This window comes from Homo sapiens, chromosome 11 (genome assembly GCF_000001405.40).
Source record: "Homo sapiens chromosome 11, GRCh38.p14 Primary Assembly".
Lineage (NCBI taxonomy): Eukaryota > Metazoa > Chordata > Mammalia > Primates > Hominidae > Homo > Homo sapiens.
The window spans coordinates 102,754,967-102,770,501 of NC_000011.10; the positions used below are offsets into that span (position 1 = coordinate 102,754,967).

General features: G+C 40.5%; 1 pseudogene; it reads right to left on the reverse strand.

The window, feature by feature from the left end:
* Positions 11,835–12,961, reverse strand: LOC100421658 (sacsin molecular chaperone pseudogene; annotated as a pseudogene).

A 15,535-nucleotide genomic window follows, 5' to 3' on the forward strand; every position in this document is an offset into this window, starting at 1 on the left:
GTGCAAGGCAAGTGATGGCTCCCTACCTGACTGCTGTTCCAGTGTCTCAGCCCACAGGCTCCCTCTTTATGTAGGGTCCTGGCACTCCCAGAAAACAACAAAATGCTATTTGATTCACCTAGGGAGACATCCTCTTCATTCGCAATGTGCAGTCTCAATATTCATCAGAAATTGTGACATAATGGAAGTTAACCAGTTGCTTTTGCAAACTCATGATTATCATCAATAAGGCCATCAACAATGAAACACACCCCATCGTACACAGTTAAGCAAAGCTGTAAAGCATGGCTAAGTCAGCCATAAAAATATCTGGGGGAAAAGTGCTCCTGTCCAAGGAAACGACTTGTGCAAAGTGTTGGGGAGTAAACGAGCACACATTCAAGAAATAGCACACCAAGACCAATGTGGCTGGAGCAGAGTGGGCAAAGGGAAGAATAGTAGGGGACAAGGTGAGTGATTGCAAAGACAGAGGCAGATGAGAGGGAGAGCTTGTAGAGCATTGCAGGGATTCTAGTTTTGCTAGGAGTGATATAGAGAGTTATTGTCCTGACGTCCCCTGGTCTCTTGCTTCTTGTTAGGACTACTACCTTCCAGGACTGCCACTTAGGCAGGGTCTTATGGCAACACAAGAGAGAGAAAAAGGGCAAAAGTAAAATGTGCTTCCCAAAGCCCGTCGCCAGTCAAAGGAACCTGGGTCTCCTCCATAAGATGTTATTTCCTGCACTGCACTTGTTGAGTCTGCTAAAACACACAATACACTATAATACTACAATATTTTCTTTGTTAAGATAATCTTGGCTTTTGTTAGTGTGCATCACAAAGCTAAATAAAATGAAACAAACTTATTAGCTGAATCATTTTTCAGTGAAAGTTAATGACTGTGAAAGTTCTACGTGAGAAGCATATTTCTGAGAGGACATTGACAGCAATCAGTTGTTCTGTTATGAAGCTGGGTCAGTACCTACTCATCTTTGTGACCACTGAACCCTTTGAAATGTGGCTAATCTGTATAAGGTGTGCCACAAGTGTAAACTATGCACCAAATTTTGAAAACTAAGTATTTTTTTAAAATGAAAAATATCTCATTTATGATTTTTAAATATTGGTAGCCCATGCTAAAATGATATTTTAAATATATTAGGTTGCATAAAATATATTATTAAAATTAGTCTGTCTTGTTTTCTTTTTACTTTTAAAAATGTGGCAACTAGAAAATTTAAATTTCTACATGAGGCTCTTTCCTCCTCTCATCTCCTCTCGTCTCCTCTCCCCTCCTCTCCTCTCCTCTCCTCTCCTCCCCTCTCCTCTCCTGTCTGTCTCCCTCTGCCACCCAGCCTGGAATTAATGGCATGATCACAGCTCACTGCTGCCTTGAACTCCTGAGCACAAGTGATCCTTCTGCCTCTGTCTCCCAAGTAGTTAGGACTATAGGTGCACACCACCAAGCCCAGGTAACTTTTTTTTTGTAGAGATGGAGTCTTACTATGTTGCCCAGGCTAGTCTTGAACTCCTGGGCTCAAGTGATCCTCCAGCCTCGGCCTCCCAAAGGGTTGGGATTACAGGCGTGAGCCATTACACTCAGTCTTTTTATTACATTTCTATTGGACACTGTTGACCTAATGATCTACATGATTAAAAGATGGGTCAGTTAGCCAGACATTTCATCAGCTATTGATTACTTAGGGCCTACTATTTACAGAACACTGTACTAGGCATTGCAAATGATTAAAGCAGCTATGCCCCACACAAGAACATGGCCTCTGCTGTCATCTTGACATCATCTATGTGGAAGATGAAACATACGCATCCAGTAATTTAGCAGCAGGTATCTCAAAGAAGAAGGTGTGGAGATGAGTCTTTGTTCTGGTGCCCCCAAGAGACTTCCTTTTGATATTACTCTAAGTTTTCTTTTCCCTCTTTTTTTTTGAGGCAGAGTCTTGCTCTGTGGTCAGGCTGGAGTGCAGTGGTGTGATCTTGGCTCATTGCAACCTCCACCTCCTGGGTTTAAGCGATTCTCCTGCCTCAGCCTCCCGAGTAGCTGGGACTACAGCTGCGTACCACCATGCCCAGCTAATTTTTGTATTTTTAGTAGAGATGGGGTTTCACCATGTTGGCCAGGATTTTCCCTCTTTTTGACTATCTGCAAGTGGTAACTGATACTAATATATCTGCAGGAAAAATGAATTCTGTTGCCCTAAGTGACCCAATTGGTTTTTTTTCCATTATGTTTTTTCTGTGTGTGTGTGAGTGCCATAATAAAGATCTCTGCCGTTCTTTCTGTTAAGGATGAGCTTCATTTCATTTTCCCGGAAGTGGTGGGAAAGGTCTTCCATGTAGATTCTACGCATCGTATCGACCCTGCTTAGCCTTCTACCTTGTGGGATATTATTTGTTCTTTGCTTACTTGGTTGCCTCTCCTGTGTATATTTAGCTTATAACAAACCACTGCAGATTTAGTGTCTCAAAACAATAATAATTAACAGGATTCTATTACTGGATCTCAGCTGAACAATTTGGTTGTTTGGAATATCTTTTTTGGCGGCAGTCAGATCGTGACTGGGGCTAGAACACCCAAGATGTTCTGGCTTCATCACAGGTCTGGTGCTTTGGTGGAGAAGATTGGAAGGCTGGGATCAGCAGGGATACCAGGGTCTCCCTCTCTCTCTCTTCATGAAGTCTCAGAGCTTCCTCCTCTTCAGTAGAGTAGCCAGATTTTTTTCTTTACTACATTTAGTAATACTTTCTCCATGAATGCTTGAACACATTTAATCCAGGGGACTAGGCTGTATTTATCCATTCATATATGTCTTCCTCCATTCAACAAATATTTTCTTAATATTTCCAGTCACTTAGGCTGGAGAAAGGAAAAATAGGCCAGCAGATTATTCATGCATGGTACCTTTAATTTGTGCTGTAAGAGATTCATACAAAGTGCTGCAATTACACAGAAGACAGTGACCTTATGTACGATAGAGATGTGTGTACAAACTTCCAACACATGATGGATAAGAACACATTCTCCTCTCTCAATTTAATTTTTAACCACAACTTCCCCATCTAAATGGAGTATCACACTAATGCAAACAGAAAAGGGGAAGTGAATGAATTTCTCAGGAAAACCCAAATTCTCTCTTTCCCACAGGACTTCTGATGCCTGCAGAGGCAAGGGAAATAAGAAAAGGAGGCATTTTCTAGGACAAATGGAATATAGGTCATCTTTTCCCAGCCAAAATGAGGCTGGAACTCCCCGACCACCATAGGGTGCATACACTAGCTGTGGAGAAGCCATCCCCTCAGTGCTCCTGGTGCTTCCTGCCAGGAATCCCCTAGTTCACTCAGTAGCCTCAGAAACAGGAAAGGGGAACTCCTGAAAAACTGAGGAAACCACCATTGTGATAACTGGGATTGAGCAACAAATTACACATGATGTCATCTTCATGAAGACTCATACAATAAGAAATCTGGTGGTTATTCAGTATAGTGCTTGACAACAATTATGTCATAATACTGAATGCTTTACTGAAAGAGCAATCTGTGTGTATGTCCAGCAAACAGATCAAATTTGCAAACAGATAAAAAAGCAAAGCATGATAGTAGTGCTTAAAGTAGAAGCACTGAACTCTAGAGACTCACCTTCATCCTACTACCTCTCTCTTTGTCCCCTCTAACATAACCCCCAAATACCATGGAAGAATGCAGCAAGTTTAAAAATCACCAATCTAATAGAAACCTCTTACTTGTCAAATGAGAAAACTTAGAGACATGGGCCTTCCATCACTTGTTCCAGATCATGCATCTAGTGAAGAGCACTAGAATTAGAGCTGTTGCTTTCTATTTCCAAGTCTAAGCCTACTACACTAAGAATTTCATTTCATGTCAATGAATCTAACATGGATTAGATTTTGTTTTCTGTCAAACATCATATTGTTTAACTTATTGGAATTCTGTGGTATTTTGTAGCTTTCTTAAAGGACTTCTCATATTTTGCCTTATGCTTGACTATTTGTCTTCCTTTATGTATGAAATTTTTTTTATAGGGTAGAGATATACTGTTATAGACATGTGTTTTATAAATTGCACTAATACAACAGTAATCATTATTTCCCTGACATCAAAAACTTACACTGTGATCAGGTATTATATGGAATAAAAGGTAAACAGAGATACTCAGAGAAATGCAGCCCATGTCCTTGGTGTGTGAGAGGGGAGAATGTGTTCTTATCCATCATGTGTTGGAGGTCTATACACGCATCGCTATTGTACACAAGGTAATGTTTGGGTCACTGGTTGGAGAACAGAGACTTCTTGCTCTAAAAGAAAGAATATAAAGAAAGCTATTAAAAATATAAAACAGCATGTTGCAAACTCCAAATGGCTGGCATTCTAAATTGCTACCCTGAAAATTCTTAAAAACTGTATAATCATGGTCTTATGGAATGTTGAATGGGAGACAGAACTTGAAGGTATGATTTTGGGTATGAGGTAGATAGAGATTTAGCAGGTAGAGACTGGAAATCCAACCCTACTTCTAACTGGGTATGAAGACTAAAGTTAGTTCTGTTCTCTTGACTAGAAAATTATAATAATAGTAATAAAATTCCCCCCAATCCCAAAATGGTTTTCAGAAGAATTAAACAAAATTATATATATAACATATATCTACTTTGGTGTTTGTTACAGAGTATTTCATGATTGCTGTTTTTTTCTTAGAGTTAAAAGATACCTTTAAAAATCTCTAATTATGGCCAGGCATGGTGGCTTACACCTGTAATCCCAGCACTTTGGGAGGCTGAGGCGGGTGGATCACGAGGTCAGATCAAGACCATCCTGGCTAATACAGTGAAACCCTGTCTCTACTAAAAAAAAAAAAAAAAATTAGCCAGGCATGGTGGTGGGCACATGTAGTCCCAGCTACTCGGGAGGCTGAGGCAGGAGAACGGCGTGAACCCGGGAGGCAGAGCTGGCAGTGAGCCAAGATGGAGCCACTGCACTCCAGCCTGGGTGACAGAGCGAGACTTGGTCTCAAAAAAAAAAAAAAAACTCTAATTATAATTGTTGTAAAGATACAGTTAGAAGGAATAAGATCTAGTTTTTGATAGTACAGTAGGATGACTATGATTGACAATAATTTGTGGTATAGTTCAAAATAGCTAGAAGAGAAGAATTAGAATGTTCACAACATAAAGAAGGGGTGAATGTTTGGAGTGATGAATATCCCAATTGCCCTGGTATAATAAACATTACACATTGTATCCATGTGTCAAAATATCACATATACCCCCAAAATATGGACCACTGCTCTGTAACAGTAAAACAAACAAACAAATCACAAAACCTAATTAAACCCCCTTCCATTGCAAATGAGGAAACTGAGATCTTGAAATTCTCAGTTGTTTTATTTCTTAGAAAGCAAAACAATGTGACTATGATTCAAGGGACAGGGTTAGTTCATTTTAAGGGGATTTAAACTTACCACAGGAAATGACTCTTGAGGAAATTGTTGCTGTGCAGTTAAATAAAGCAAGGAAAAAACAAGTAATATCTGCTGAATCTCCACAATAAACCAAGTTGAATCATCTGCTTTAGAGATTTGGGAGCATTGCTCAAGAAGCAGCTGTGTTACTAGGTATTGCATCATTGTATAATCATCATTGTTATCATCGCCATCATCATATCTGTGAGCCAAATACGATTTTAAGAACAATTGTGGAGGTGGCAAATTTCCAAGCTAGATAACTTACGCTCTAAATTCACTTATCATGCTTTTGTCACCTTTTAGTTGTAGCTAATGGTGATCCAGTGACATTCCATTAATTTGATTGGGAAGGTCTTACTAGTATGTATAATTATAAATCTGCTTCTAAATATAAGTAGGTCTATGATTCACCATGTCTTTGTTCTAGGGAAGAAATTAAAGGGTTGGATTTCCTACTGACTTTGCAGGGATTAAGAAGGTTGTATATATCTTCAACTACCTCCTTTGATTTAATCCTTAAGAAACCAAGCAGGCTGGGAGCAGTGGCTCTCGCCTGTAATCCCAGCACTTTGGGTGGCCTAGGTGGGAGGATCGCTTGAGGCCAGGAGTTCGAGACCAGCCTGGCCAACATGGTGAAACCCCATCTCTACTAAAAGAAAAAATAAAAAAAAAAATTAGCTGTGCATGGTGGTGGGCCAGCTACTCAGAAAGCTGAGGCATGAGAATCGCTTGAACCTGGGAGGTGGAGGTTGCAGTGAGCTGAGATCGTGCCACTGCATTCTAGCCTGGGTGACAGAGTGAGACTCAGTCTCAAAAAAAAAAAAAAAAAAAAAAAAAGAGAGAGAGAGAGAGAAAGAAACCAGGGCATTTTTTTAGTGCATGCTTGTTTAACTGATGAAGTAATTTTTCTTTCCTATTTTATTGCTGCTGAGAAAATATACTACACATATAGTGGTAACGTGTGTTACTTAGCTAAGTGAGTGGGCAATTTATTTCTTATTTATGTTTCCTACTTCAAAAACAGATTTGATGGATGCAATGGAATGATTATTAAATGAGCAAATGTGCTAAATGAGTGACTAAATGAAAAACAATGAGTTACAAACTTTGGGAGAAATTTTACTGTTTCATTTACTGAAATGTTTCATTAATTTTATACTCAATCACATGTTAGAAAGCTGATGCTTCATATATTTTCTCTAAAACATAAATTAATGTGACTCCCTTTCTTTGACTCTCTCAGATGTTCCCTTGAGATTCCTCAAACATGTCTTTTAATATCTCTATGCCATTGTGCATGCAGCTTGCTTCCCTTGGAATGCCCTTCCTCTCCAGACATCTCCAGATGCCTGTCATTCTTCACATTCTAAAATTGACATTACTTTCTTCCTAGTTCAAGGGAGTTATGCATGCTTTCATTTAACAAACAGTGATTTACGGAGTAGCTACCATGTACCATTCTCTGAATTGCAGTGGAATATAACCGCAGGAAGTCACAGTCCAATGTAGGATGAATTTGAGGGGACAGTTAAATAAAGAGTGGTAAGTGCTGTGATTGGAGAGTATTTTGGGAATGTACAAGAGGTATGTGCAACACAGCTCAGGAGGGCCAGAGAGTGCATCTCAGCAAAGAAAACTTCTGCAGCCAGAAGCCAGAATGAGAAACAAGGCGGTAGCCAGGCAAGCAGACGCAGATGGATGTGTGGGAAAGCTTTTGCAGTTGTGGAAGTTTTTTTTGTTGTTTATTTGCTTGGTTGCTTGTTTTTTATTATTATCATTTTTTGTTGTTGTTGTTTCTCCCCCCTCCCCTTTTAACCAGAAACCATTGAATTGGAAGGGGTGTCTATTTTACAGAGTCAGAGGATTCTTAGAAACTAACAAAAGCTTTGAAGCTGGAGTGGGAAGGGGAAGTTGATTATCCCTAATTCCTTCTTCAGCTTCCTCTAAAACCCTCTGTTTCGCTGATTGTGTCCCACTTTCCACCAAATTAACTAATGTTAGACACTGGGTGTGGTGAGAATTCAATGGTTGCAATTCAGACGGATGCATGATGACTCTCTCACCACAGGTTTCTGCAGTCTGAATGGACCTACACCCAGAAAGAGCTTCTGGTAACAGCTCACTGATTCTTCTTTTCCTTGTCTGTTTCATCCAGAATCCTCTAGACTGTAATTTTTCTCTTTTTCCTGTATGCTATAGGCAAGTGCTCCTTAAAGTGTGGCCTGTGAATCAGGGATGATTCATGAACTGTAATTGGTGTGTGATAAGCTCAGCAATCAATCATGCTTTTACAACAATTTGATAAAGTAGTTTTATGTCTATTGGATCTAGTCTAATAATTTAAAAACTGAACATTTAAAAATGTCTTTGTCATCTCATTTTCATAGTAATTCCCTTTCGCTGTATTTTACAAAAGTATCCATGGTGAACTGGAAATGTAAGGAACTGGTCCTTCACTACGGATGGCTTGAGAAGCAATGCTTTGGGCCAGAGAAGTAATCGACACTCTCCAGTACTCTGATCTCTCTCTGTCTGGACCACCTCCCTTCTTCTTACCTCTTAAGTTCTTGCCCTTTGGCTCTCCATATAGATGCCTAGTCCTCTTGGAAGCCTCCCTAATCTCTCAGCATTGGGGGCAGAGCCCCTCCTTGGTGATCCCACAGCTCTGTGTGCTTCCCCCATTATGGCCATCACGCTTGGTAGTATATCACATAGACTGTTAACTTCTCCATCTCCCTCTGGAGAATATACGCTCTGTAAGAGTGTGGCCATGTTTGTGAAACTCTGTGCCCCATATGTTGCCTACTATACAGTAGACATTCAGTGGGTATCTGTTAAATGAGTGAATGAATCAATGAATGATGGAGTGGAGGAGGTAGAACAGCAATTCAACCTCCCAAAACCCACTTCATGCAAGCACCCCCTTCCCCACTTAGATAGAGAGTGGTTAGGTGGACCAGCTTGAACTCTCTCTGCTCCTGGTCCTTGAGGCATGAAGGCCCACCTGCAAGGTTGTTTGCTACACCCCAAGGCTTAGCATGAAACTGCTCTCCAGGTTTCTCTCCCCTCCCTGATCTCAAGACTTCCCCTTAGGTGGCTGGTCCCAGTGGAATTTCCTAATGCAGTCCTACATTATATCATCTTAACCCTTTCCTTCTTCACTCCCTTTGCTCCTCCTCCCTCCACTGATTCACAGATTTTTGCTTCTTGGTCTTCTCATACCTGAATCATCTTCCTGCAATTCAAATACAGTTCACGTATTCCTCCCTACACTTGTCTTATCACCATCGTGTCACCCTTTCTCTCCTCTCTGTCTCTGTTGTCTGCCTGTCTGTCTTTCTGTGTGTGTGTTTTGCTCTAACTCTACTACTTCTCTGTCTCTTAAAACATGCATATTTACCGTGTGTCCTAATGCTAGTCAATAGCAAGAAAGGAACATTTATAACTCACACACTCTAAACTTGTTATCATGCATATTTTATTAATGACTGCAAATTCTGTGTTCTAGTGCTGCTTGGTGCCTGGAAAAAGAGGTGGGTAAAATACAGAAAGATAAGAGAAAGATACGCCAAATAAAGTGAGAGCATTAATGGCTATTTATTTCCACTTTAAAATTTTGCCTTAAAGCCCACCCTAGACACAGTCATTTGTCTCTCTATGTCAGGGGTATCATTGCTGGTTTTGAGCTCCAAAAGGGGGTGGGATATTTCTGCCTCCAGACTTTCTGTAGCAGAAATGGATTTTGGCCTGAATCATCTGGATTAATTGCTATGTGGCTGTGGCTCCAAATAAGGCAATCACTCAACATATTAGGTATCTATTGCTGAGTAGAAAATAACCACTAATTTTAAAACAACACACATTTATTATTTCAGTTTCTGTGGGTCATGAGTCTGGGTATAGCTTAGCTGGGTCCTCTTCATAGGTTCTCGAGGTATTGGCTAGGTTGCATTATCATCTGGAGGACTGATTGGGGAAAAAACATGCTTCCAAGCTCATTCAGGTTATATTCACTTACTTTCTTTTCTGTCTGGTTACCACCATTCTGTGGCTACTTATTGGTAACTCCCAGCCTGTTGTCAGCATCCCTCTCAATCTCTGCAAATCTGAAGTCACTTGTTCCCTTCCTGAAGGTGCAGGCATACTCCCAATTTTCTGAACAAAACCTGTTTGGAGGTAGGAAGCATTGAAACATTCACCTTATCTCTTTCTGGGAATCCTAATGAATTTGCCATTAGTGCATCCTCCCAATTTTCTGAACAAAAACTGTTCAGAGGTAGGAAGCATTGAAATATTCATCTTATCTCTTTCTGGGAATCCTAATGAATTTGCCATTAGCGCTGCTCTTGTCTTAATGTAGGGGTCTTTGAAATCATAAGAAATACATATGTTGGTTTCTGCTCTAGTTCCTGACAGAGCTCCTAACCCATTGGAATTTTCTGAGTAATAGGAGTTCTAGGAGAAACTTTTGTTCTAATGTTTGCTCTCTGCCCTTGTTTCTGAGACAGAGCTCTTAATACCCTTATAGATAGGGGTGGTAGGCATATCTTTTGTTCCAATATTTGGTCTTCGACCCTGGTTCTTGACACAGAGCCCCTAATCATTTAGAATTTCCTGGGTGATGAGAACATCTTTTGTTCTAATGAGGGGACTCTTGGAAGGAGGCTGGTCATCAGAAAGACCAAACCATGATTAGAAGCTTGGAGTTTTCAGCCCAATAAATTTAACTAAATGTTTCCCTGAGTTTTACAACCTGTTCTAGCAAATTATTGACCATGAGGAGTGGTTTGTAGAAAGCTCTCATTTATAGCTGGTCTGCGGGACGTCCAGGAGGCCCAGACATGTGATTAGCACTGGAAGTAAGCAGAGTGGTCTTATGGGATTGTGTCCTTAACCTGTGGGGTCTACACTAACTTCAGGTATTTAGTGTGATAATTGAATTACATGACACCCAGTGTTGGGAAAGTTAAAGAATTGGTTGGAGTGAAAAAAACCCCCACATATCTGGTGTCAGAAGTGTTGTGAGTACAGAGAAGAAAACAGTGAGTTTCCTATACAGATTCTAAGTCTGTTCTGGAGTGGAATTTCAGTGCTGCTGCTTACTAGTTGCTCATCATGAGAAAATTCATCCTTCTAAGCCTAAAAGTCTATAATCTAAAGACATTACTGTTTGCCATGGTTAACATGAGGACCGAAAGAACTGCACACATCTAGCACCCTTTACAGTGTCTATAAATTGAAGTTCCTTTTTTTCCTTACCCTCCCCCAAATAAAGGCATTCACTGGAACCATTAATGAAATCTGTAAACACAAGAGAAAATATTTCCTATAAGTACTTTCTTTGCCAACATTTTACCTAGATTGCCTCGGCATACTGTTTCTACTTTCTCATCTCACAGTTCTTGGTGGAAAATATTGATGCCAATTCTTTCTTCGCCCACTGATCAACATGATTAGGGTGAGATTAAGCACAGCCCCACCTCCAGGAGTTTAAGCCAGTCATGGATGATCCCAACAATAGCAGTGTGGAATCAATGAATTGCTTTTCCAGTTCTTCCTCTACCTAGCCCTTAAGCAAGATAGTTTTTTAACGGATTCACTCCACATTTGTGAAGTAACATGTGTAAAAGGTTATTAATTACAGTATTTCTTTGTGAAGTAACATATGTAAAAGGTTTATTACATTATTTCTTTTGAAAAGTAAATATCGAAAACAAACCCAAATTTGCCCTAATAAGGGATTGTTAAATAAATGATGAATTCGTATATTGGGTTACTATGTAGCTATTAATTAGAATAATGCAGCTCTTTGTCACTGATACAGAGCAGTCTCCAAGATATATTAAGTGAGAAAAAATGAACTGTGGAATAGGATATAAAGTATCCCACCCTTTGGGTTAGAAAGTAAAGGCTTAATAGACATGCTTATTAATGCATAAAGTAGATTAAAGGATTCATAAGAAATTAGTAGCATTGTTTACCTCTGGAAAAGACTGGTTGGCTGAGATGAGATGAGAGGGAGAAAAACTTTTTACTAATGAAAGTGGTATTTCCTTCTCTTTGGATTTTGGGTCATTTGTACATATTTCTCTGTCAAAAATCTAATGTAAAATACTGAAAATATAGGAATGTTACTTTTTTTTTCTGTAACAAAACTCCAGAAGTTTTGGTGAATCTAAGATCAAAGTAGCATGAACTTTAGGGACAACAGTCATGAAAACAAATTCACTCCAGAAAGCTGCCAGGTCTCTCCACTTGCCCACATCTCTTTATTTTATGTTCCTGATGTTGTCGGTGAGGCCAAAGAACCCACTGATGTGAACTGGGAGGCCTGTTCTGCTTTCCCCACCCTGCAGTAAAGAAAACAAAATGCTATTCCTGAGACATCTGACATTGCTCCTTTTGCTTCACCATCTTTGCTTGACAAAGACATGGCTATTCCAATGATTGGGACAAATTTCAATCCATCCACTAAAGACTGAAGATTACTGCAAATCCCTTGGCCACCCACACCATTACACACCAACCAAGATGGCTTTTGTACATCTTCAGTACTCTTGTCTTCTAAAACTGACCCAATCATGGCTAACTGCATAAATCCCTGCAATCTGGGACAACTCACTGAAGAGAGGCTCTAATACCAGCATGGTATGTTATACAGTTGATGCCATTGCTTGGAGTCCTTTCACAATTGTTACTTAGTGCAGTTCCCAGGATCTTTATAGAATTCAGACGTTCACGTTTCAGTGCCGTCTAAATAGAGTGCCCTTGAAGTCACTCTAAATACCGGTTTCTCCATTCCACCAGCCTCTCGGACATTATAAGGAGACGTCCTGCACACTTTTTAGAAAGAGCAGCACTGGGTCTACATCTGCCCTAAAAGACGGAGAGCTGGAGAACCTTCTGCTTACTGTAGTGTTTACTACTAAGCTGTCGAGGATGCAGGCGAAAAGGAAAAGGAAAAAATGTTTCTGGAAAATTGAGATTTATGAATGTTTCCTTGGTGCTTCCAAAAATGCCAGCAAATGGCAGAAATTGGTCCAAAAGTTCACGAATTTAAATGCTGTCATCTTTGACATTCCAACACTGGTCTCACTCATGTGGGCCAAAAAGTGTTTGATGAGGCTCGAACATCCCAATCCAGTCACCACTAAAGATACAAGGAACATCTCTATGGTAGCCAGACTTAAACTCAATTCCAAATCTTCCAACCTTCAAAGGCTCATACTTTGTCTTACTTCTTGCCATTTCTGAATGCCGCGCCAGTCGTCCGGGCTGAAAACCGTGTTGTACACCCGGAGATCTGACCCCATCATTCACCGTAGCTGCTTTAAAACCGCATCTAGAAGGCAGTGTCTGCCTCTGCCTGTTCCAAATGTCCATTAAAAAGGCCTTAAGAATCTGTCCTCCTGGACGTCTTCGCAAAATATCTTTGAGAAAATCAATGGGTAGTGGAGTTGTTTAACCAAATCAACCTGTCCCCCGTCGCGGGTGTCGTTAGCCGCTGGGCTGTTGGGCAGCCCCAAAGCCAGCGTCTGGTCCCTGCCGCTCCTGGGCTCTGGGAGGCTCCCAGCAGCCGAAGGGCGGGATGCTCACTGCGCAGGCGCGAGCCTCGGCGGCAACCCGGGTACACATGTTACTTTTTTTTTGTTTTTGTGAGGAAGCCCTTTGTGTTTATGATTAGTGTTCTCTATTAAATATTTCTGATTCTCCTCCTAGGCGTGTGACAGTATATTATTTGACTATCTTTAGTGTCAGATGAGGCAATGTAATTTTCTTTGGCCAATGAAGTATGGGCAGAATGATGTTTATTGTATCCACACAGACTTCTAGGAGTCAGCGCGAAATTTACCAATAACTCTTTCCCTCCGCCGCAGTGAAGGCTGGCGTTCAACGTGGTGCCCGTTCCATCAGCCCGGGTCTTGAAGTGAGGACAACTTGGAGTAGAGACCCCAGTGGAGTACTACGATGCACTTTTAGTTCTAAGCCACTGAAAATCGGGAAGTGCTCATTACCACAGCATATCCTGGCCTGGTCTGAGTGATACTGCATTTTACAAGGTTCAGTCCTGAACCATCTTCTTTTATCTCTGCAATCTTCCCATATAAACTTACCTATTCCCATGGCTTGACTGATGCCGCCAAACACCCACAGTTTTATCTACTTTGTTTTGAGCTCCAGATTCCTCCATCTAATGGCCTACTAATGCCTTTAGTTGGTTAACTTACAAGAATTTCTATATTTAAAAGGTGAGGTGATTCCTACTGAATCTTAACTTTCTCCCACAAAACTGCTTCTCTTTCAGCCTTCCCCTGACTCTGTTGAAGCTGCTGTGATCCAAGAATTTGTTCAAGCCGGTAATCTAGGAATTATTCTTAATACCTTCCTTTTTTCTCAGAACTCTATCTAGTTTATCATGAAATCTGAATGATGTTGAAATATATATCAGGGCTGGGTATGGTGGCTCAACCTGTAGTCCCAGCACATTGGGAGGTTGAGGTAGATGGATTGCTTGAGCCCTGGAGTTCCCAATCATCCTGGGCAACATGGCAAAAGCCTGTCTCTACCAAAAGTACAAAAATTAGTTGGGAGTGGTGGTGCACACCTGCAGTCCCAGCTACTCAGGAGGCTGAGGTGGGAGGATTTCCTAAGCCCGGGAGATCAAGGCTTCAGTGAGCTGTGGTTGTTGCACCACTGCACTCCAGCCTGGGTGACAGGGCCAAAAATAAAATAAAAATAAAAATAAAAAAAATCCAGTCATGTCTCTCAATCTACCCAGAGGTCCCCTGTCCCTACCACCCTTCCCTGTCATTTTTAACCTGTTCCAACTTTTGTCGTCACTTCCTTCCAACTCTCTCCAGCTAAAGTAATCATTCAAAAATATAATGGCTGGCATAACTTATCTGTTTAAGACTCACTCGATGAATCTACAATGCACTAAAAGTGAAATACAACTCTTTAGTATACTGTAAAGACATTGGATGATTTGATTGTGTCTACCTGTCTAATATCTTATTCCACCCCTACTCTCCAACATGCCAATAGGCACTCATCTTTCAGTTCCTTGAACATGCCAAGGACTTTTATTTTTTTAAACCCACTGGGCCTCAACACTAATTTGCATTTTCTTTCCTTAGAGTAGTCTAAATCCTCCTACCCATTCACCCACCTGGCCATTTGGATTTAGATGCTTTGTTTTTAACATTATTTTCCCAGAGAGACTTTCTCTAATAACCAAACTTTAACAGATAACCCTTCCTCCAACAGTACTCTTCTTTACAGCTTTGTCGTTTCTCTAATAACAGCTTTATAATTTGTAGTTATACATTAATTTATGTTCTTTCATTTGATTTCTTTCTCTCACCAGACAAAACTCAATGAAATTGAGTTAAATGTATTTTCTTCACTGTTTCATACTTTGCAACTATGACAAAGTCTGGCATTAAAATTAGTCAATAAAAGAAGGAACAAGTTTCTATAGTGTTGTCAGTATGGTGTAAGCATGTAACTTCGTGATGGTAAATCTGTCACAAAATTGGCATGTGCACATGCACTGTTATCACTCAGGGGTTTCCATGTACAAAATGGTAGCAAGAGAGTATTCTAACAGGAGGGTGAGGGTGAGGGGGAGATGAGAAATTTAGTCTCTAGAGCAAGAAAGGAATCCCACTGAAGAAAGATTTGGGTTAAAACAAGAGGTGAGTGGACTCCAAACTAGTTTTATTTCCCCACCTGTAAAATTGGAAAGTCTATTAAATAATATGCAGGTTCCCAGGCTCTAACATTCTAGAGTTCCATTTCTCCATTTTGTTTTGATCCTGCCTAGATACAGGACAACTGTTGATTTACCTCTTTCTTTGTTAGGTGTGTAAGGAACACTTACAATATCTGTGAGATGAAAAGAAAGATCCTGTTGGTGCAGAGAATAGGAGAGGGTATGTGACAGCCACATGACTAATTTATAGAGTGTGTGTTCCTACCACACCTACTGGCAGACTATCTGTCAAATAATCAGTCCCCAGTATGATCAGGGTATTGAACATGAATTGTTCTAGAAAG